At 37.9% G+C, this 20485-nt stretch overlaps 1 long non-coding RNA gene, 1 other non-coding gene and 1 pseudogene across 6 annotated transcripts in view, besides 4 other annotated features; all 3 read right to left on the bottom strand.

Annotated features, from left to right (window-relative positions):
* TMEM161B-DT (TMEM161B divergent transcript) overlaps nt 1-20485 on the bottom strand; it is a 167793-nt gene that overhangs the window by 35112 nt on the left and 112196 nt on the right. Inside the window, exon 1 of one of the 5 annotated variants that reach the window (NR_105020.1) lies at nt 9221-9368. The exons of the other annotated variants lie outside the window; for them this stretch is intronic. This is a non-coding gene — a long non-coding RNA (TMEM161B divergent transcript). Of the gene's footprint in view, nt 1-9220; nt 9369-20485 lie in introns of those variants that run through there. 5 annotated transcript variants of the gene reach the window in all.
* Nucleotides 3972-4848: an enhancer, noted in NCBI's record as "amplified fragment containing the chr5:87692532-87693408 (GRCh37) conserved CAGE region with expression in fetal brain, neurons and optic nerve". NCBI's record gives its function as "drives transgene expression in the brain and neural tube {active_cell/tissue: brain | neural tube}" and the evidence as "EXISTENCE:transgenic organism evidence [ECO:0001131][PMID:24670763]".
* Nucleotides 3972-5226: a biological region, named in NCBI's record as "CRE1 CAGE-defined tissue-specific enhancer".
* Nucleotides 4115-5226: an enhancer, noted in NCBI's record as "VISTA enhancer hs268". NCBI's record gives its function as "enhancer in: neural tube[6/6] | hindbrain (rhombencephalon)[6/6] | midbrain (mesencephalon)[6/6] | forebrain[6/6] | cranial nerve[4/6]" and the evidence as "EXISTENCE:transgenic organism evidence [ECO:0001131][PMID:17130149]".
* Nucleotides 4224-4447: a conserved region, noted in NCBI's record as "conserved region; ultraconserved element uc.165". NCBI's record gives the evidence for it as "EXISTENCE:sequence alignment evidence [ECO:0000200][PMID:18176564, PMID:15131266]".
* On the bottom strand, nt 18656-18791 carry LOC124900200 (small nucleolar RNA SNORA70). The gene has a single exon (XR_007059149.1). It is a non-coding gene; the product is annotated as a small nucleolar RNA SNORA70 (small nucleolar RNA).
* Nucleotides 18792-19642, bottom strand: RPS3AP22 (RPS3A pseudogene 22; annotated as a pseudogene).

Here is a 20485-nt window from a genome sequence, read left to right as displayed (position 1 = left end):
GTTTCTTTTGCCCTCTGCCCCTGCCTTTGGTTATATTTTTTCTTAATAGTACCAAAGTTAGGCCTCAGAGATTGCTAACACCAATGCCTACAAGTGCCTACTCAAGGTCTCCATGTTTAATGTCATTTGTTCAATCTCCTCCCCTCTTCCAGACAGTGAATTTCCCCAATCCTGTGTCACTGGTCATATTTTATGATTGTGGATTTGCTGATATAATGTTTCAAACCAAAAAATAGATCACTTCTTGTCTTACCCTGTTCAGTAAAATTGGGAATACAATTTACTTTATCTTTCCTACAGACCTCTCTTCAATATCCAGTCCTCAAAAGATGAATAAAATCTTCGTTGTCCATAGTAGATGGTAGTTATTAAATTTCAGCAGCAAAGCATAGAAAATTATTATTTTAAAAATCTAAATTCCACCATTTAGTCAGACAAAATTTAATGCATGAAACAAGGATGTAACTGTACAAATTTTTTCTTATCACTTTTAACCTTGATTTTTTTTCTTTATGGTAAAACTTTTGCCTCTTCTCCTTACTAAGGGATAACAATTTCAGCAAATGGAAAGTAGAATTCCTTTTCCAAACAAAGTTTGTGTGTACATATTAACAAAACTTATTTGTGCTATGAAATGTGGGATCCAGTTTCCTGAAACAGTGGATTCATTTTGGATCCTACTACAAGACAATAATTTTATTTATAATGACTTACATCCTGTGGAATTCCAATTTCTCATACCTTTCAATTTTTGGTGACTGTAGACAAAGTTGCTGATAAACTTTTACAGAAAGAGGCGGATCTTATACCTACATTCATTAACATTAATGCATTATTCTATTTCTCACTTTCTAATTGGAATAATGAATTTGAGTTCGTTTCAAATTCTTGGTTGTGAGCAAAGGCATCCAACCTTAGTACCCATCACCCGTGGAGTGCGCTTCCTATTTAGGGGTGCATTTCTGCCCCTTTGAACAACGAATGTTTTATGTGGATACTGTATTCATATATAAGTAAGCTCTACCCTTCCTGCACCATCTTGACAAACAAAACAAAATCCTGACAGTTGCCCAGATCTGAGATGTCTCTAGGATTTCCTATATGCTCAACAACACAAAAGCAATTGTGTAAGTGTGTATTTAAAAGAGTTTGAAAATCCATTTCTAAGACTTCACAAGAACTGATTACTGAACTCCATTTGGTTTACCAAATAAAGATGAGAAAGAAAAAAAAAAGAAAACCACAAACACTGCCATTAATTACACTGTAAACATTAAATAAATATTCTTTCTTTCTATCCTTTGCCCTTTTCAAAAGGAAAGGTGGTAATTTACATGTACTGTGCTTCTTTCTTCTCATTGTTTTAATTCCTTTCTTTCTGGCTTCTTTTTACTTGTATAGAAAAGAGGTGGACATGTTTGAGAAGATAGAAATGTTTACCTAGTATATTTGTACATTTTTTTTCATATAAAGAAAGAGCCTAGGCACCTTCTACTTTGTCTTATGACCTTTGTTAAGCCACTAATCTGGAAGCTGCATTTTAATTACAAAATATTATAAAGGGAATATAGTAGGAATACACAACCTTTGATTCCTAGCCAAATGAGAGGAAGTTTAATAGCAGTGTATGGTTGCAGGAATGGTTATGCTTGGGATCCATATGCATGTTCAACTCACACATTCAGGCAGTGCAATAAAGCAGGGAAAAAACAGCTGATACACAAAAGGGACCGTCTAGACAGTACCCCATCAGTCTGGCTAAATTTGGTGCTGGCATTCCCAATGGGATTGTAATATAATTGTTCTGGTGTCTGCGTTCATTCTCCCTGTCAAACACCATTCCAAATATACATCCTTCTCCCCCCAACCCTTCTTGTTCCACAAATATGAAGCCCAAACTGTGCCATGTTGGAGAGGGTGTTAGATGGCTCAAGCCAAAGAAAATGTTATAATTTAGCAAAATCACATTGTTTAATTCCTTGGGAAAAAAAAACCCTGTTACATCTTAGCTTCAAATAGAATTAGTTTCAGTCAAATTTTAATAATTTAAATTAAGAACATGGAAAAGATTTCAATGCAAATACAAATAACCTGAAAATATTGAGCACCTTAGATGAAAGCAAATAGGCCTTTTTACTCTTTTATATTTATTAGCCTCTGTCAGAAAATTTAACAGAAATCAGAAATGTGAAAGTGTAATGATCGACATGGATCATAAATTCTAATGAGGAAAAAACCTAATGAAAAAAATGTTAAGCAAAAGCATTGAAAAAATGCAAATTGTGTATTTTTTCTTTCTTGGGCTTAAAGCCATAATTTTTTTACTCTAAGCACCTTCTGAAAGTTGAATTTGTGATATTTATATATGAACAACTTCATATTTTTGGCTTTTAATAAAAGAAACCAGCCATATTTACCCATCAATTTATAATAACAATTAATGTTTTTAAAATATTTTGGTTTAAAACACTGAGAAAATGAAAATCACTACTTACAATATACAATAAACCAAAAAGCACATCATTAACATGAATAATACACAGATTATTGGCAAAAACATTTATAATCTAAAAACTTCCACAACGTTGAAATTAAAACTGTCAGATTCCTTTTTTTTTTTTTAAAGGAAAATGCAGTCTTTAGGATTACCATATAATATAACCACCAGATACATTTATTTTATTTTCTGTTTTAACATGTCACCTCTGGGCATTGTTTAGATATTAAAATTGGGCAGTAAACCTATTTCTTAATCTTTTTTTAATTCCAAAAAAAATTATTTTGGGAAAGAAGCTAGGCTGTTTGTTTTGTCTTGTTTTATTAAGTGTAAATCTATGTTTGTACTTCTGATTTTGGAGGTTTAATAATCCTTTCCTTGATGCTGTAAATAGAAATTGGTCTCCCACCTCCCAGCAGTTTTCAGATTCTAGATTAGGAACCCAAGTGAGTGAAGAAATCTCCCAACCCCCATCAGGGACTACTCTAACTAGAGAAAAATCAAAGAAAATACTTCAGGCACTACATCCTGCCTTTATCCAACTTCAGGAGGCTGAGAGACAGACACACTAACCAAAACGGGGCACAAGCGAGAAATGGCTGTTCCAGAAAGAAGCAACACACAGAGCCTCAACTCGCACAAAGACAGAGCACCAATTACACAGAAAACCACCACCAAAGGAACCCAGAAACACTCAGACATGCTTTAGAGATGCCTTAAAATGCTCACGTGGAAAAGAAAGAGAAAATAAGTTTAAGAGATTGTATCCTTTTATTTTTAATTTTTAAAAATGTAATTAGTGACTTCATACTTTTTCCTTCTTTGTATAAAATTGCTATTCTGATGTGCACATGGGTACTAGAAACAGTCATTAAAAAGATAATAATATTTGAGCATAGTGCCTGCCTGAAGCTGGGTATTTTGCCTGTGATTGTTTTTTTTTTATTCGGTTTTATTTTACTTTTTTAGAATACACACATGGTATAAAGTGAAAGAAAGGCATACTGTAGGCCTCTGTGAGATGAAACAGCGTAGCAAAATCTGAATTTTATACTTAGTTTTCAAACTATTGAATAATATCCTAGGAGACCTCTTAGGTCTTAACTGGATTAAAATGAATATATTTGTGCTCCGGCTCTTTTCAGCTAACTAATGTGCATGTGAATTGATAGTGTGCGAGGGAGCAGGCGAGAGCAAGTGTATATGACACCGGGAGTTGATGCAGGGGCCAGGCCGAGTGTGACTCTGTGAAGGAGCGTGCAGGACGGTGTGGGCTGCCTGGACAGAGTGAGAAATGAAAATTAACAGGCCTTGGGGTCTGGTGCGTTTTGTCCAGAAACACAAGAGAAGCTTAGTTGGGATGAGGGGGGAGGGGCAGGGTGTTGGTGAAGGGAGGGTGGAGAAGGAGGTGTGGCGTGTGTGTGTGTGTGTGTGTGTGTGTGTGTGTGTGTGACTCTGAGGTTTCAGTTATGGCTGAGCCTTGGGTTTTTGTTTTGGCGGTTCCCAGCATAAATAGGCTGAAGTTTCAGGTTCAGGGTGGAGTGCATGCCAGGGGATGGGATCGTCGTTCTGAGTTTCTCTTTCTGGCCCTTCTCTATGGTTGCTGCTCAGAACATTGCTGCTGTGAAGGAGTAGGGGGAGAAGCAAGGGATGGGGGTCTGTCTGCAGCTGCCCCTCTCACACTTGAATAAAAGAACTTTTTTTTTCAGGGGTAGGGAAGCTGTGAATACCTTTCCCAATAAGAGATGAGGCATATTGAAAACTATATTAAATTACCCTGATTAACAATTTAGCCACGAACAGGGGAGCTTTGGGAGATCTCTATAGGCAGGACTGGGGGCTATTCATGCCAGCAGCTAAGAGGTCGAAAGGTTTCTGAAGTTCACAGGCTCAGAGCCTTTGTTATGCTAACAGACAATCTCAAATCAGCTGCCTAGTGGAGTGTGAAATATAAATGATTCCTTGAGAACTTCCAATAAGTTGTCACTCTTGCTCTCCAAATACCAGGACAGGCTGCTAATTTCTAGCGGGCCCTTTTGCAACATTGCTAGCCCTAAATGAATGCCTTTGTAGTTCAAATAATCTTTTCAAGGGAGCTGTCCTATCATCATAGCCCAAATGCATCTTGGTTTTGACTATTAAATGAAAATCAGGGCTCAACTGTGCTTGACTTTTCCAAGCGCCCGATGTTTGGGAAGGATGGTGGCAGCTCTCATGCACAACAAGTTAGCACCCACCGCAGGAGGGCCAGGGCATTAATAACAGCCCACAGCCCCGAGCTACCCCAACTCTCACCCCCACTCCCTACTGGGAACAAAGCTCCTGGAGAGATTTACGTGACTTCCCTTGGGCTGGACTACCTTCCTCTTTCAACCACACCAACATTTCTTTAATTTATGGACCCTCTATCCAAGAGGATAGCCAGCTGACCTGCTAGCATCTGACTGGTCACTTCGAAGCATCAACTTTGGGGATGGATCTATTCATTCTTCAAGGCAGACAAGGCCAAGGGGAAGAGGGCAAGGTGTGTGTCCAGGCCATGCCCCTAGTATCAGATGCCTGTGGATATTATTTTATCATTTTCCCATAAGAAGGATGTGAACATGGCTTATGATCTTGAGTGTGACCTTTGAGCAGGTCCCGATGGATAGAAAACCAGTCCTGGCTCTCGGAGTCTAAATTGCAAAGCTTTTAAAATAAGGAAAAGCACCCCCATTCTAAACCTCAAACAAGCTGAGGGGAGTGAGAATGAGAATCTATCAGGGAGAGTGTGCTCAAACATTCTTATAGAAAGGACAATGCAATTTATACAAATAAAGAAAACACACAGACAAGAGGACAGAAATCAAAGGAAATTAGAAATCCATCTGCATCAGCCTTCACAAAGGAAAGGATAAAACCTTACAGCTTGGGTCCTGAAAATTTTGATATTTATGACTCCATGACCTCCACTTCCTTGCTGAAATATAAAAAGGTCCATGATATCACAGAAGACTCAGCTTTTTCCAAACAGAGCAGGTTTGATTTTTGAGGCCAGGAATGGGAAGAAATCAAATGGACTACATTTCTTAGTATATAATTAGGGTAAGTTTACATTCATATAAACAATATTTTAAAATACTTCGTTAAGTAACTTTATGAAGCTGGATGATACAGCCATACAGAAAACCCGAGGGCCTTGATTTCCTATCATCTTATTGTTCTTCTAATTAAAATGATTTTAAATAATTACATCAAAAATATTCTGGGGGAGTTAGTTTCTACTGGTATAGAAACTGGTTTAAGTAAACACTTCTTTGTACTCTAGGTATACTAAAACTTATGACTATTAAAACATGAATTAGATATAAGTAAGAATGGTGGCATAACTTTCATCAGTTTTGAAATCATCTAGCTTACATTTTAAAATCTTTTTAAAAAAGCCGGGGTACACAGTACAATTGTAAAGGACTCTGGGATTCAATTCAGAGATTTTGGTCCTTAGATAGGAGCCAGTGTTTAAGAACCAGGTCATCTTTGTCTTTCAAATTCTTATTTGTTTCACTCAGTAAAAGAATCTGCAAATAATATTGCTTAGGAAAATTCGTTCAGATTACTGACATTACAGGAGTAAAAGTTTATGGTTTCTTCTGCCAAATGTCAAAATTAGACAATAATGTATTATTGATCCACTCACACCCTTCTCAGAGGGACTTAGCATCCTTGTTATCCTTATTTTATAGATAGTAAAGTGACTGGCTTTGGATGCACTTCTAATTATACAAAACAGAAGGCAACATTGATAGCTAAAAGTTCGGCGTATGAGAGACAATGTGCCTAAATTTAACTTTTCATCTCTTTTCCATTTTTAAAAATTTAATTAATATTAAATGGTAGAGTATCAACACGTTATTGACACATCCTGGACATTCAAAAGACAAATACATTCCCTGTGCTTTCCAAATACTTATTTTACCACTTCGAAGTGTCCTCTCTCTTTCCGTCTTTAACACATCAAAACAGGGAAGAAAGCGCTTTTGTGTTATAACTACAGAGAAAACATTTGAGAATGTGTCAATGCACTGAATACCAGCACCAGTTTGGGGGTTGGTTTGTTTTTTCCCCCTGCCGTGGTATTTCTTTTCCCTCTGCTTTTGCAGTCTTTAAACTCTGACCACTTTGAGAAAAGCAATGGTTGAAATGAAAAGTTAGAACAAATTGCATCAAACCTGTGTGTTGCCAGAATATGAGCATGATGAAAGCAGGGTTGGGACATTATGGAGCCATAGCTGCTCTCCACACACAGAAAATTAAAATAAAATAAAACGTAAAAGCTGTTTCTGTTTCTCTCTCTCTCTTTCTTAAATACCTATGACCTAAGAGAAAGGGAATTCCTGTTTAAAAAAAAGTTTCCAGGGTTGCCATTTCTCCATAGTGGGGGTGTCTGAATGCGCGTGTTTATGTGCGTGCATGTGAGTGTGTGTTTGGGGAGAAAAGAAAGAATGGGGAGGAGGAAGGGCAGATAACTTTACTGACATATTAATTCTTTAGATAGCAGTAAATGAATGGTCCAAATAGACATTTGTTTCTCTTAATAAGTTTTGTACAGGTCTCTTACAAGCTGTGGCATATGCTTCATTTATATGTATATTTATTTAGAAGGTTAGAGAATAATAGGTGTAGCTTGGCTATAGTAGCAGTTATTATTTAAAGTCCAAGAGGTTACAACTTTCCTTCTACTCTAAACGTGAATACAAAGGTCTCTTGTATATGCCTCTTGCTTTATGTTGAGGGCCAATTAAAAATAAAGATAATATTCTAACTGTCGAGGCTTAGGAGGCGAAAGAATGAGGCTAAAAGGCAAAACGACTCCAAGATGGCTGCCTCTTCCTTCTTCCCCCTCCTTACTGCCTGTTTTCCACATGAAAATTAATGTAATATTTTGTTTAGAAATCACATTGTAGGTCATTTGCAAATGAGGCAGGCTCTGAGGCACCCACATCTGCCCAGAATACCCTCATGATGCCATCGAGGTATGGAAAGAGATTAAAATGCAAACATTCAAATGTATTTAGGTTTGTACATAGTGACTAGACTCACATACATACACACTTGAATGTGTGAACAACACACACAGCTGTAAATGGAATAAAAGGCCAAAATCCTTCTTAATTCTTAGAACAGAAGGGCAAAGGAAAGCGCCAGGCCACCACCTTTCTCCCCAAAGGTTAGAAAATGCACTGTTCATGGTCTGGATTCGATGTTTTAAAAAAGATATATCTTACTGATGACTCTCTCATTAGCCAGCCTTCTGAAGTCTGGGGACACAAGATTTCCATAAATTATCTCTCTAACTCATCTCATGCTGGTGCAAAATGCAAAGCTAAATTTTTTTTAAATTTTTAATATTTTTTTAAAAAGAGAAAATACTAAGCTAACCAGCTTCCTGACAAACATGTTAAAAGATTAAGCTCACCAGTAATTAATACTATTAATTATAATAAATATATTTTTATCATAAAATTCCATCCATAAAGCTAAACTAAAAATAATGTAGGAAATAAATAAAAGCGTATTTGGCTCTTTCTAATAGATTTATAGCAGGTTACTGAGCAGATTTGACTGCACTAGGCAAAGAACAAAGCAAATGGTTTAGTTCCTATAGGAAATATACTAAAAAGAAAAAAAAGGAAAAACCCCACAACCCTTTATCTAAAAGCCATCAGGGACAAGCACTCAATACAAGTTAACAAGCAGGAACTGATAAGATAACATTTATATGAGGTCAGAAGTCAAATGCCAGTCAAAGGCTTTTAACCTCTTGGGTCATAAACAGGAATAGTTAAAAGTGAGAGGTAGTTATTTATCGGATTTTAAGGGTACCTGATCATTGCCACAGAATCACCGATGATGAAACTAATTGGGATTTATAGAAAAAGAACTTTGTAGCTGTTCAAAGAAAATTAACCTACAAACCCACAATTCTTCAATTGGTAGGGAGAAAAACAAACTAAAAACCCCTCTTTTGGGAGAGAAATAAATCTGGCAATTTAAACAGTAACAAAATCTCTCTCAAAATCAATAATTTATGACTAATGTACATATCGATTAATATATAGTAAATGATTTTAAAAATAAATTCTGTATTAACAATGAAACAACAAAAATAAGCATTATATAAGGTATTTCCAAGTTTTGTTCTTTTTCTTTGTTCCTTTTCAGACCCTCTAAATTAGACAGAATATAACTCCATATCACAATATTTCTTGCCCTCAGAATGCCATCATTTATAAATTTAAATATATATATTCTAATAGCAATTATTTTTAAACATTGGAATATTGAAACTGCGTAATTAAATTTGTATCTTAATCTATCCAGAGAAACAGATGTTTCTTTTATTTGCTGTCAGAATAGTTTTTCTTTGTTTTGATTTTTGTCCTTTTTGTCTCTTTTTAGGTTTACATTCCAAACTCCCAAACGTTCCTGGTTTCTGCATCCATGCTGGTTCATATTTTCAAAGCATACCCACCCCTCTTTTTTCTTTTGTAATAAAAGAAAGCAGATCTAGATATTTCTTTCTAGAGAGAGGTAGAGGGATTGTTGTTAGGCCTGCTAAGGCCCACTGTTTCTTTAAACAGAGTCCATAATACCCTAGGCGAACATTGTGGATTTAAAATGCTTTTAAATATTTATCACTAGTATTTTATCATCATATTCAAATGACACCTGGAGTGCACTCACCTTTATTGACAATCTCTGTTCTGAAAGTCCATTTGCTTCCTTAAAGCCCCCCAAGCAGAACAAGGACTACCCGTTTTCATTCAGTTAATGTTTAGTAAAAAACCAAGCAACCTTAATCAGCATGCTGATTGCATCGTCAACTAACAAATAATTTACTACTCTGAGCATTGCATTCCATTAAAAGCTCATTAAATTTTCTGTTCTCCAATGGGAGGTTTAGCTTTTGAACTGCATGCTTTTGCTTCGAATGATCATTTATTCAATCTTTGCAAAATGTTGTGGTTTGTTTTTTCCTAAAGTATAGGTGAGCATTTCAATACCTATAGATTGCAAACATATGGAAACACAGCCCAGAGTTGGAGAATGTTCAATTTGATTTATAAACTCTGTTTAATAAAAATTCAACACAATCTCTTGTACTTTTAGTAAATTCTGAAACAGTTGAGTATATCTGTGGTTATGTGTGACCCAAACATAATCTCAGAAATATTAGTATATAATCTAAAATATCAGATCCTTTCTTTAATGCTTAAATTTTTCTTTTCTGCCTATTATAGCTATAATTATTTTTTTCTTTGTAAATAGTTGTTTTCTACTGATGAAAAAGGGGCATGATACCACAAAGCTCTTACCCTATTTGATGCCAGACTTAATACTTCGGGGGGGAGGGGGGTGGGCAGTGGCTAGTTACCCAAAGAAATCCACATTTTCTGGGGTTTGCACATTTTTTTACAAACTCATAATCCCCTGAATTGTTTTCATGCCCAGACTTGTCTAGGAAAGAGTGTATTTATTATTTTTAATTTAGGGAAATGTAAGAAAATATCAGGCACCCAAATTAACATGCATCTTTGGATTGCTAATTGTGCTCATTGCAAATTTGGGTCATTTTGCATGAGTGACTCTAATGTAGGGCTGAGATTGCCACGCAGCCAGCGCAGTGGATTCCTGATTCCCCGTGCTAATCCTGAACTCGGTGATTGTGTCAGGTGCAGTTCTGTATGCTCTAGCAGCTGGCTCATCCTCATCAATGCAAATAAGGCAACTCCTACAATCAGAGCCTCGCGAGTGTGAGGCCTGATTGCTGAGGGCAGGCTAAAACACTACACAGACTCTCACTTTCAAATCCCGCTAAGTGAGAAGACAACTGCAATGTCCCTCCAGTTCAAAATCAACCTTTCGAAAACAAAACAAGAAGAAAGGGATGGCTACAAAGAGGAGGAAAACCCCAATGTTTGGGAAGTGGACTTGTTTAGATGGGTTTTATTTAGATACAGAGATAATGTAAAGTGCATTTCAACAAATAATTATTTAGCTCCTATTCTGTGCAAGATACTTTGCTTTAAGAGCTGCAGGGGATACAAGGGTGAGGAAGAACACACTTCCGGCTTCCAAGGAACCCTATCACTTGATTGCAGAAGATGGTAAACATTAAGATAATAGTGGAACTGTTATTAAGGAGCAGTCACGAAAATCATAAATGAAAACCAAAAAACATACTTTTAAGGGAAGTATTTAGATATGGCATATTTGTGGCATAGACGTTAAGAGCAAGGCTTTGGAAGCTTGGGGTTCAAATCCCAGCTTTGCCACTTACTTGCTCAAGTTACTTTGCCTTTCTAAACTGTAATGTCATCATCTGCAAAATGGTGGCAACACAAGCACCTAGCTCAGAGATCTTGAAGAATGAAATGAGATTATGTAAATAACAACTTACCACAGTGCTTGGCACATAGTAAGTGCTCAATGTCAGCTATGATTATTATTATTCCCTTCTTAACACACAAAGAAGGAGGGGATCCAAAAATAACAGTGTGCCACAGTTTGAAAGGCATTTATTTGATCTTGTCTCTAAATTTCCATTTTACATGTAGCACTTACCCGGTGGAAGTGAAAATACAGTGAACGCTAAAAAGCCCTGTGTCTCTCGGTGGTGTCTGGACAACCCTGGCAACTCGGAACATGAAGGAGAGAACAAGAATTCCCTGTGCTTTTCCTTTTCTTCTTTTCCAAACACGTGTGCAGACTTCCCCTGCATTTCAGCCCCACCCTCTTTATTTTACTGCCTAATCTATAAAGGAGGATTAACAGCAGCACGCTGCTTTGGCATAGAGCAGATTCTGGGTGAGGACCTGTAGGTAGAGTTTAATGAATACAATTTTCTAGGACTGTGAGTGCATATTTTTAGCTCCATGCTGGGCTTCAGCGTTGGCTCTTGAGACAGATGAACAGACTCTTTGATCAGACTTGGGTGTTGCTCCAAGAAGAACCTTTTCTCAGAAAGTCGTTAGGAAAAAAAATTGTCTTCTGTTGCCCTTATTCCTAATGTGCACTCTATAGATTCAGATTCCAGATAACTTGTCCTGATCTCAGTAAATTAATTGCATTGCAACATTGAGTTACACCACTGTGGAAAGAAAAAGTACTTCTGGGCAGGAACAGATCCACTTTCTCACAAAAGAGAATGGCTGGTGTTCAAGTGTGTGGTTGCCATCCTTTCCCTTTTGAGAGTAGGGTAGAGGTAGTTAACCTTCCTGGGGGAGGTTTGGCCTAGACAACATCATAGACACTATATCCCCCCTGGAGTTACCAAACAATAAAACTGCTTCCTTTGCCAAACACAAAGAATGGTCTGGAGTTGGATATTAGCAAACAGCAAGCCACATAAAGAAGACAAAAAAAAAAAAAAAAAAAAAAAGGGAGAGAGGGAGAAGGAAGAAAAGAATAGGAAGAAGGATGGAAGAAAGGAAGCAAAATTACGTGAAGAGGAAAGCATAAAATAAGATCGCTTTTCTGCTTTAGCTTGCCAGAGAAAGAGGGCAGCCATCCACTTTTGTCATGATTTTAGCTATTGCCAGGCAAGGATGGGAAGGTGGAGAAGAATGGATTTTGATGTAATGCCAAGCAGGTCAGGGATGAGGCACCGGGTCTTTGGAAATAGCTGAGACTTTAATACCTTGGCATTGGGAGAGTGTGCACAAGATGGGGAAGGATTTGATCTTTTGCATTCCTGCTCAGGACCCTCTCCTACTCTATCTAATAGGATTAACAGATATTTTCCTAAGCAGAAATCAAAATGTGTCAAATCATCTGAGGCAGTCAATTTGTTCACAATGCCCACGTTCTTACAGTACAGATGCAGCACTATTCAAAAACAGTTTCATTTCAAGAGATACAATGCAGCAGAGATGTAAACATTTATCTTCATAATCTTACCCTCCTTTCAGACTGCTTAATTTTTCCCAGTGATTTTCCCCTCCTCTTTCACTCTCCCCGCCTCACCCCCCGCCCCAGCTCAAGCTTCAAAACATCTAGTACAAAAAAGACATGACTTCCCCAGAGGATTCGGGTCTCAGTGATCCTGATGATGCAATGTGTGCTCTCCATTATTCCTGGGAGCTCACTGGATATGTTCCTGTATCCCGCCTCACAGCTTCAGTTGTCCTTATTTTTGCATCCCTTACAAATCCTCCTTAAACACCTGCAAAGGTTACCTCCACCTCTTCCTCCCACCTCATTCCAAGTTATCAGGACTCCTTCCCCACCCTTGCCACCCCACCTCTACACTCTTTTTTATTTTTATTATTGCTATTATTATCCTCTCCACCAGCACAGCCCATGTGGTTTCTCCTTAGGGAGGCATTAAGTTGCCGTCCCTTGGGCTATCTTAAAACTGCTTTTCCTCTTCCAGCTCCTTTTGAACACAACAGACCACCGTCACCTTTGGAAGAATGAATGAAAGTAGTTAGAGTAGGATTCCAACTTCACATTGTTGGCATTCCTGAAAATCTCATGCATTTTCATTGCCTCCTCCCCACTTCCCTTCTTTCTCATTGAGACCCCATAGCAGCAATTAGAAGCTCTGAAATGAATAGAAACAATAGCTACCAGTGTGTGTAATTCTTAAAACTTGAATAGTAGACATTTAGCAAGCAGAATAAAGGCCGATTTTATTCCTCTTTCTTATCACTTGTATATTCAGTATACATGTATAGTTTTTTTTAAAAGTAGATTACTCGCTGGGTGCCGTGGCTCACGCCTGTAATCCCAGCACTTTGGGAGGCTGAGGCGGGTGGATCATGCGGTCAAGAGATCAAGACCATGCTGGCCAACATGATAAAGCACCGTCTCTACTAAAAATACAAAAATTAGCTGGGCATGGTGGTGCACGCCTGTAGTCCCAGCTACTCGGGAAGCTGAGGCAGGAGAATGGCTTGAATCCAGGAGGCGGAGGTTGCAGTGAGCAGAGATCATGCCGCTGCTCTCCAGCCTGGGCGACAGAGCGAGACTCCATCTCAAAAAAAAAAAAAAAAAAAAAAAAAGTGGATTACTGACTATAATCTCCATAACAACATATTTTTCACTGATATATTTTGGGTGTCTATTTCACCATAATTCTCTATGTGATTGTGGTGTCAAAATATGATGAATTGGTCCATTCTCCCTAGAAAGTCCTCTCCACCATTTTTCCTTCCCATCTGTTAAAACCCTACCCATTCTGTGGGATCCAACTTACACCACATCTCTTCTAGGAAATTTTCCCAGATCCTCCCAGAAGAGTTGTTCTCTCTCCCGCAGGGCTCCTAGTGAGGATGTTTATGTCTTTCCTCTCTCACCCACTGGAGTTAGTTTTGTATTCTAGCCACTGTTGATGTCTGTCTGCACCCAGACCAGGAGGCCTGGAGCACAAAGAACATATCTGTCCTTTCTGGTTTCTCTATCACTCCTACAAGAGGACCTGGCACAGCAGAGCGACTCTATCAACTGAAGATGACATACGTATGGATGATAGCTCAGCCTTCTGAGCCTGAGAAAAGGCCACCAGTACCTGTTTTGAGCATGTCTGGATGAGGGAGATGTCAAGCTACTCCTGGCCTGCTTCTCCCAACTCATTCCCACTTATACATGACAATGATTTTGAGGCTTCCTCACATTAGAATTTTTAATATTTTTTCATCTAAATGCTCGTCTTTAGTAAATATGTAACTAGATGAATTGTGAAGTGAGAGAATTAAAAAGTGCTATCTTATATCTGAATGAATAAATCATTTATATTAGCTCTTCTGTTTCTTGGCTAGTCTGGAATTGGCAACAAATACCTAAGCATCAGTACTCTTTGACATAGTGTATTCATTTATTTTTATTTTTTAAGCAGTCTGACAAGTTATTTACCGTATCAATTAGCATTGGCCTGAAAAGGAGTTGTTGTGCTACATGTGTTTATGTTCAGCTTTTGAGTTGTCCTGATAGTTTTGGCTTTTATTTGTACAGGTATTTATCTTGAAAGGATCACCACCACCACCACAAAAACCCTACCTCATAGTTTAACATTTTCTTAAAACCATACCTTGTTTGCAACCCCATCATCTCAGTATTAAATTTTTTTCTCCCAATAAGGCAAATGACACTTTAGCCTTAGTTAATGTAAAAACAGGAAGGTGTTAATCTCATTTCCAACATGTCAGCTCTTCCAGGTAGGGTATTAATACGCAAGATCCCCTGCTGGCAGCCTCAACAGAATCTTTCCAGCTGTGAAGTGAAGTCCAAACCTGGTAATTTTTGCTTTCTTTTATTGTGTGTGCTCAGGTCTGCTTCATTCATTGAAAAAGGTATAGCAGTAGCTAAATGCATATAAAGAAACAAACGGATGTTTCCAAACTATTGACTTAACTCTGTACTCAGACACTATGCTAGGTTTGTTTTAAAATATTCACACACTACAAACATTTGGGTATGTTTGATGATAAATAGCAACTAGGTAAGACATATTTGAAATATCTCCTGAGATCTATAATTTTGCATCAGAGAACTCCAGTCCATTGTCACCAATAGCTTTGTTTAATTTGCTTTCTTTAAAACAATAGTCTGGACTAAACAAGGAACAGTAGGGGCTATGTTGTAGGAAGTATTTTGGGATCCTTATCTAACAGAAAAAATTATATTCTTGAAGTAATGTGGGAACCAAACTTTTAATTTTTATTTTTTCTTCACATTGTAGAGATGAAAGGAAAAAAATGTTTTCATAGTACTGAGTTGGTGTGGACAGTGTGAAGGAAATATGTTTCCTACAGAAATTTTTAGGAGTTTGGGGAATTGGTTCTACTTATCCTACTCTATGTGTATAAACACCAAAGGTGTTTTTTTAGGGGCAATTTCAAAAGAGGGCAGTTAGAGCAAAGAGGAAATCAGTAACTATAGTGAATATATAAGAACATTAAAATCAAGTTTTCCTATTTGTAAATGTGATTAATAAGAAAGCTTAATTTTAAAAAATATGATGTAAATATGATTAATAGGTTTTAAAGAAAATTTCACATGGTTCCAATTTAAGAAAGAATTAGAATAGCCATTTTAATTTCACACAGGAATGGAATTATACGTGGCTTTAAAAAGTTATTGATAAATAGACTGTAAATACTGACAAGCTATTAGTTCATTTGAACTAAAAACAGGAGAGAAACAGAAAAAATAAAATGGGATGGCAGCACAGACAAAATAATATTTACAGGGTGGGCAAGTAAGAGGATGTGGCCATAGAAAAGTATGAAAAGACATGGGCCCTGGAGGCATGCAACTAGTCTTATACCTAGTTGAGGAGAGATTTGAGAGGAGAGATAGTGATGACGCCACTGAAGAGGTTAATTTTTGCCCATGTCCTCCCACTTGCTAGCCACATGTTCTTGTTTCATAGTTGAGACAGGTATTATTATGCCCACTATACAGATAAAGAGACACAAATGCAGAGAAGTTGAGGATCCTCTGACAAAGAGTTACATGCCAGCTCCAGCCCTGTGATTCTTTTTTATTTTTAATTTTTATTTTTTAAGTTAGGATGAGAGCTTAAAAACTGCGAAAGGGAGGGAAAAAAGATGAACCAAAAATATGTGAAATTTTTAAAAAGAGTCACTGAGGAATTCTGAGCTGTCAGGTATATTCAGAAAAATAAAGCAGGGAAAAAGTGAGATGATAGGGTTTTTAAAAATTCCTGTTCAAGTTCGTAACAGGCACAGTGCCTCTTTTTATTCATCTCCTGCCTGTACATATTTTCCCACACACCATTCTGTAGTGATAGAATTCATTCCCTTGCCCACTGGGTCAGTATTTTATTACTTTACCGGTTTCTTTTTGTAATAGCTTTTTATACTCCTTGCCAGTGAAAGTATACTCCCAGAAGAAGAAGATGACCAAAGGAAGGAGAACGTGGGCAGGAAAGGCCTGGCAAGCAAGGTCACTGTTAGAGCCACGTCTTGATTGTTCCATTTCCCCAGTGGGCACTATTACACATTTCCCCTTAAGCATGAGGCCATGTTATTTTCTGTGTCTAGCTTTTACCTAGAACATGGATGAGCTCATCAGAAAATATAACAAAATTAAATTCTATCATTGCTCATTGCAACCACGTAGCTGATATTTTATGTATTGCATCTTAAATCTCCTTCTGGAAGTGTAACAATTATAGCCTGTATAATTTGTACCATTGTTGACATTTTTATCTTCTTGAAAAACAATTTAGTACAACTTTAATTGAAGATCTTAAGCCTCACAGGTTAGTGGGCTTGGAGCAGGATGCGGAAATAATGGGAGAAAACCACTCATCAAAGTAGTTAAATGACTTGAACTCGATCACACAATTGGCTGAGTCTGGATTGAGAACCTGGAGTTTTATTTTAGGCTCTGGATCTTACCACATTGCCTTTCAAATTCATTTCAGCTGGACGCGGTGTCTCATGCCTGTAATCTCAGCACTTTTGGAGGCCAAGCTGTGAGGATTACCTGAGGTCAGGAGTTCTAGACCAGCCTGGCCAACATGGTGAAACCCCGTCTCTACTTACAATACAAAAATTAGCTGAGCATGGTGGTAGGTGCCTGTAATCCCATCTACTCAGGAGACTGAGGCAGGAGAATCACCTGAACCTGGGAGGCGGAGGTTGCAGTGAGCCAAGATCACACCACTGCACTCCAGCCTGGGCAAAAGAGTGAGACTCTGTCACAAAAAAAAAAAAAAAAAAAAATTATTTCAGCCAGTGTTTATTGATCACTTGCCATGTGTTAAATGCTATAGAGAATTGCATTAGAATTCTCCACTTGTGAGCTTATTCTTTTATTAGGGTATGTCCAAACAGGTCTAGAAGAAAAATTTTAAAACATCTTTTGCAGGAAGAGAAATTTCTAAGTCAAAACATTCATTCCCCCAAAAAGCAAAACCCTAACATATATTTAAAATTATGCAACAACATAGATGAGGGAAATCTTTAGCTATAAGTAGTGAAAACAATCAACACTACAAAACTATTGGCCTTATTTGTATGTCTGCCAAAATAAGTAAAAACATAGGCAGTGAAAGAAAAACTTGACTACTAAGATACCTTCCTTACTCAAAGCTACCATCTCCAAATATTCTCCGAGTCAACCAACAAATATCAAGTATTCATTTCCTGTCAGGCACTGGATTAGAGATCTGAGAAGGAACAAAACAGATGTAATTCCTACCATATTGAATGAAATAATTTGAATATCTTTTCTACTTTCAAAATATAAGCTAATATACTTTCTGGCCATTCATATTTTAGTAAGAATTACTTTAAATGAATAATCAATTTTCTTGGCTCTCTGTTATGGGAGGATATTAGTTAGTGACAGCTCAGTTTTATTGTTCATGGTGAGGTTGCAGGGCAGAAAACAGAGAAAGAACAATAAAAAAGCGAAAGGTCATTTTAGAACATGAAGAATGTGGGGAGGGTGTCCCAGAATGCAATGCCAACAAATATCGAGTACTCATTTACTGTCCGGAACTAGATTAGAGACCTGAGAATTCCATGGAATGATGCCACCATGAAAAGCTCATGGTTACCTTAGGGGTTTGGGTGTCTAGAGAAAGGTAGGAGAAGAGTGACCAAGGAAACATTGCTTTCTTATTGCATAAGGATCTTGGTGTCAAATTCATTGACTCAGGAATCTGTGAAGTTAGAAACCTTATTAAAGAATTTGGATTTTTTTTCCCCACAAATAGAACTCTTTTTTTTATGGATAGGATTTATTGGTTGGCATTAGGAGATGGCCACACAGTGGAAGACTTCATGAGTACAGAGCTTGTCATTTGTCCAGAGAGTCACAATTGGGGATGTATTTGACTCCACAGTCATCTGGGATGAGCTACTTCTCAGCCACCATGTCTCCAACTTCATTCAAATTGAACTTGATAAAGCACCACTTCTTTGAGATGTGGATCTTCTGGCAGCCAGGAACTTGAACTTGGCACTGTGTAGGGCCTCAATCACATGCTCCTTGTTCTGCTTGGTGCAGATGGACCTGATGACTTGGCCAATATGAACCCAGGCTATGATACTCTGAAACTTTCCAAAGGCAGCTTGCACACCTCTCTACAGCCTACACTGGGACAGCATAAGGTCAGAGACATGAACATACACTGGAAAGGGCTGCCTTCAAGGTCCCTTAGAGGCAACCCATACAAGAAGCAGGCTGCATACACTACCAAGGAATCTGCTGTTTGCAGCCATTGCACACCAAGCCCCCAGGAGGAAAAGAGCTCGGTCAACTCAATTGGCTGCAGACAGATAGGCTTTTTTATTTGCCACTATTAAAATCAAACTTTAAACAGATTCTTGGACTTGTGGCTCATATCCATCAGCTCATTCAACGTTAGCACCTGTCTTGTCCCCAGTAGCTTTTCCAGAACAACTAACTTCATCATGAAACTCTATTAGTTTTCCCAATTCAAACTTGGGTTTCTTCAGCATTTTTACTTTTCTAATGAATACATCATGAAGAGGATAAATAGATTGGCAAGCATTTTCTATGTCTTTTCCAATGTTGTCTGGAATCAATTTATTGAACACTTTTTTGAAGTCGTTTGTCTGCACTTCTGTGTTTATGATTTCCATCATCTCCTTCTGAATTTGACAGACCTGTTGGTGCTGAGCATAAGAGGTCTTCTGTATCTGATTGTTGCATTTTCTATAAAATCAATACAGAACTGACCAAGCAAATAACCATCGGTAGTCTTGACATTGACATGAGCTTCAGTCATGGTCTACCATTTTTTGACCATGGAACACATTTTGTCATGGGTAAGATCCATGCCATGGAAGTTAGTCAGGCAGTTTTTGCCCTGAACATCTTCAGTAATCAGCTAGTTTATTCTAAATGCAACTTCATTATTCTGCAGATCAGCAAGACCCACTTCAAACACATGACCCTTAAGGTCATCAGGTGCAATTCTTGTTCCTTGAATCCTAGTGTCTTTCCAATACTCCTTATACTGACCATAGCAGGTGCTTTCACGTGATACCAGTCTTTCTTAGAAAATGGATCAACCCCTTTCTTCTTGGCTTCCTTTTAGCCACCTTTCATAAAACGCTTATTCTTGCCAGCCACCATGGTGCTGTTCAGAGACCCAAAAGGCAAGAATTTGGATTTTATCAACCTTGAATAAGGTCTGCAAAATATCACTTCTTAGTAATCTTTCATGAGTGATCATTCTAGCCCCAGAAAGATAGAAAGACTGTTATATGTTCCTATATGTACTGGCTCATGATATGGTCTGACATAGGACAGTCTTTCTGTCTGTTCTATATCAGACCATATCATGAGCCAGATAGCTGATATTTTAGGTAGGTTTAGAACAGTTTTTTTAAAAAACATTTTCTACCAAAGCATCCCTAACTGGTAGTACAGGAGAAAGTTTTGAGTGGCAAAACTCCAACAACAGAATTATACCAGTGATGGTAGGGAACAAGAGAACTGTTGAGGGTAAGTCAAGGCAGGAAGTTTGAAATGCCTTTAAAATCTTGTGGTTGTTTTCCTTAAAAATTTAAGCAATTATTATATACTACCCCATAACAGGTTCATGTTTTTTATTGTTTTCATTTTTGTTTTCAGACAGGGTCTCGCTCTGTCGCCCAGGCTGGAGTGCAGTGGTGCCATTAGGAATCACTGCAGCCTCAACCTCCCAGCTCAAGCATCCTCCCACCTCAGCCTCCCAAGTAGCTGGGACTACAGGCACTCACCACCATGCCAGGTTAATTTTTTTTTGTATTTATTGTACAGACAAGGTTTCTCCATGTTGTCCAGGCTGGTCTTGAACTCCTGGCCTTGAGTGATCCATAAACCTCAGCCTCCCCAGGTGCTAGGATTACAGACATGAGCCACTGCACCTGACCTCATGTTTGTCTTACATTTAAGCAATGCCCTTTAAAATACTTGCTAGTATTCAAATTGACTTTCTGGGAAGAGATGCCATGATAA

This window comes from Homo sapiens, chromosome 5 (assembly GCF_000001405.40).
Source record: "Homo sapiens chromosome 5, GRCh38.p14 Primary Assembly".
NCBI classification, from domain to species: Eukaryota; Metazoa; Chordata; class Mammalia; order Primates; family Hominidae; genus Homo; species Homo sapiens.
The sequence above is the reverse complement of the archived record's forward strand: the minus strand, read 5'-3'. Positions and strand labels throughout refer to the sequence as shown.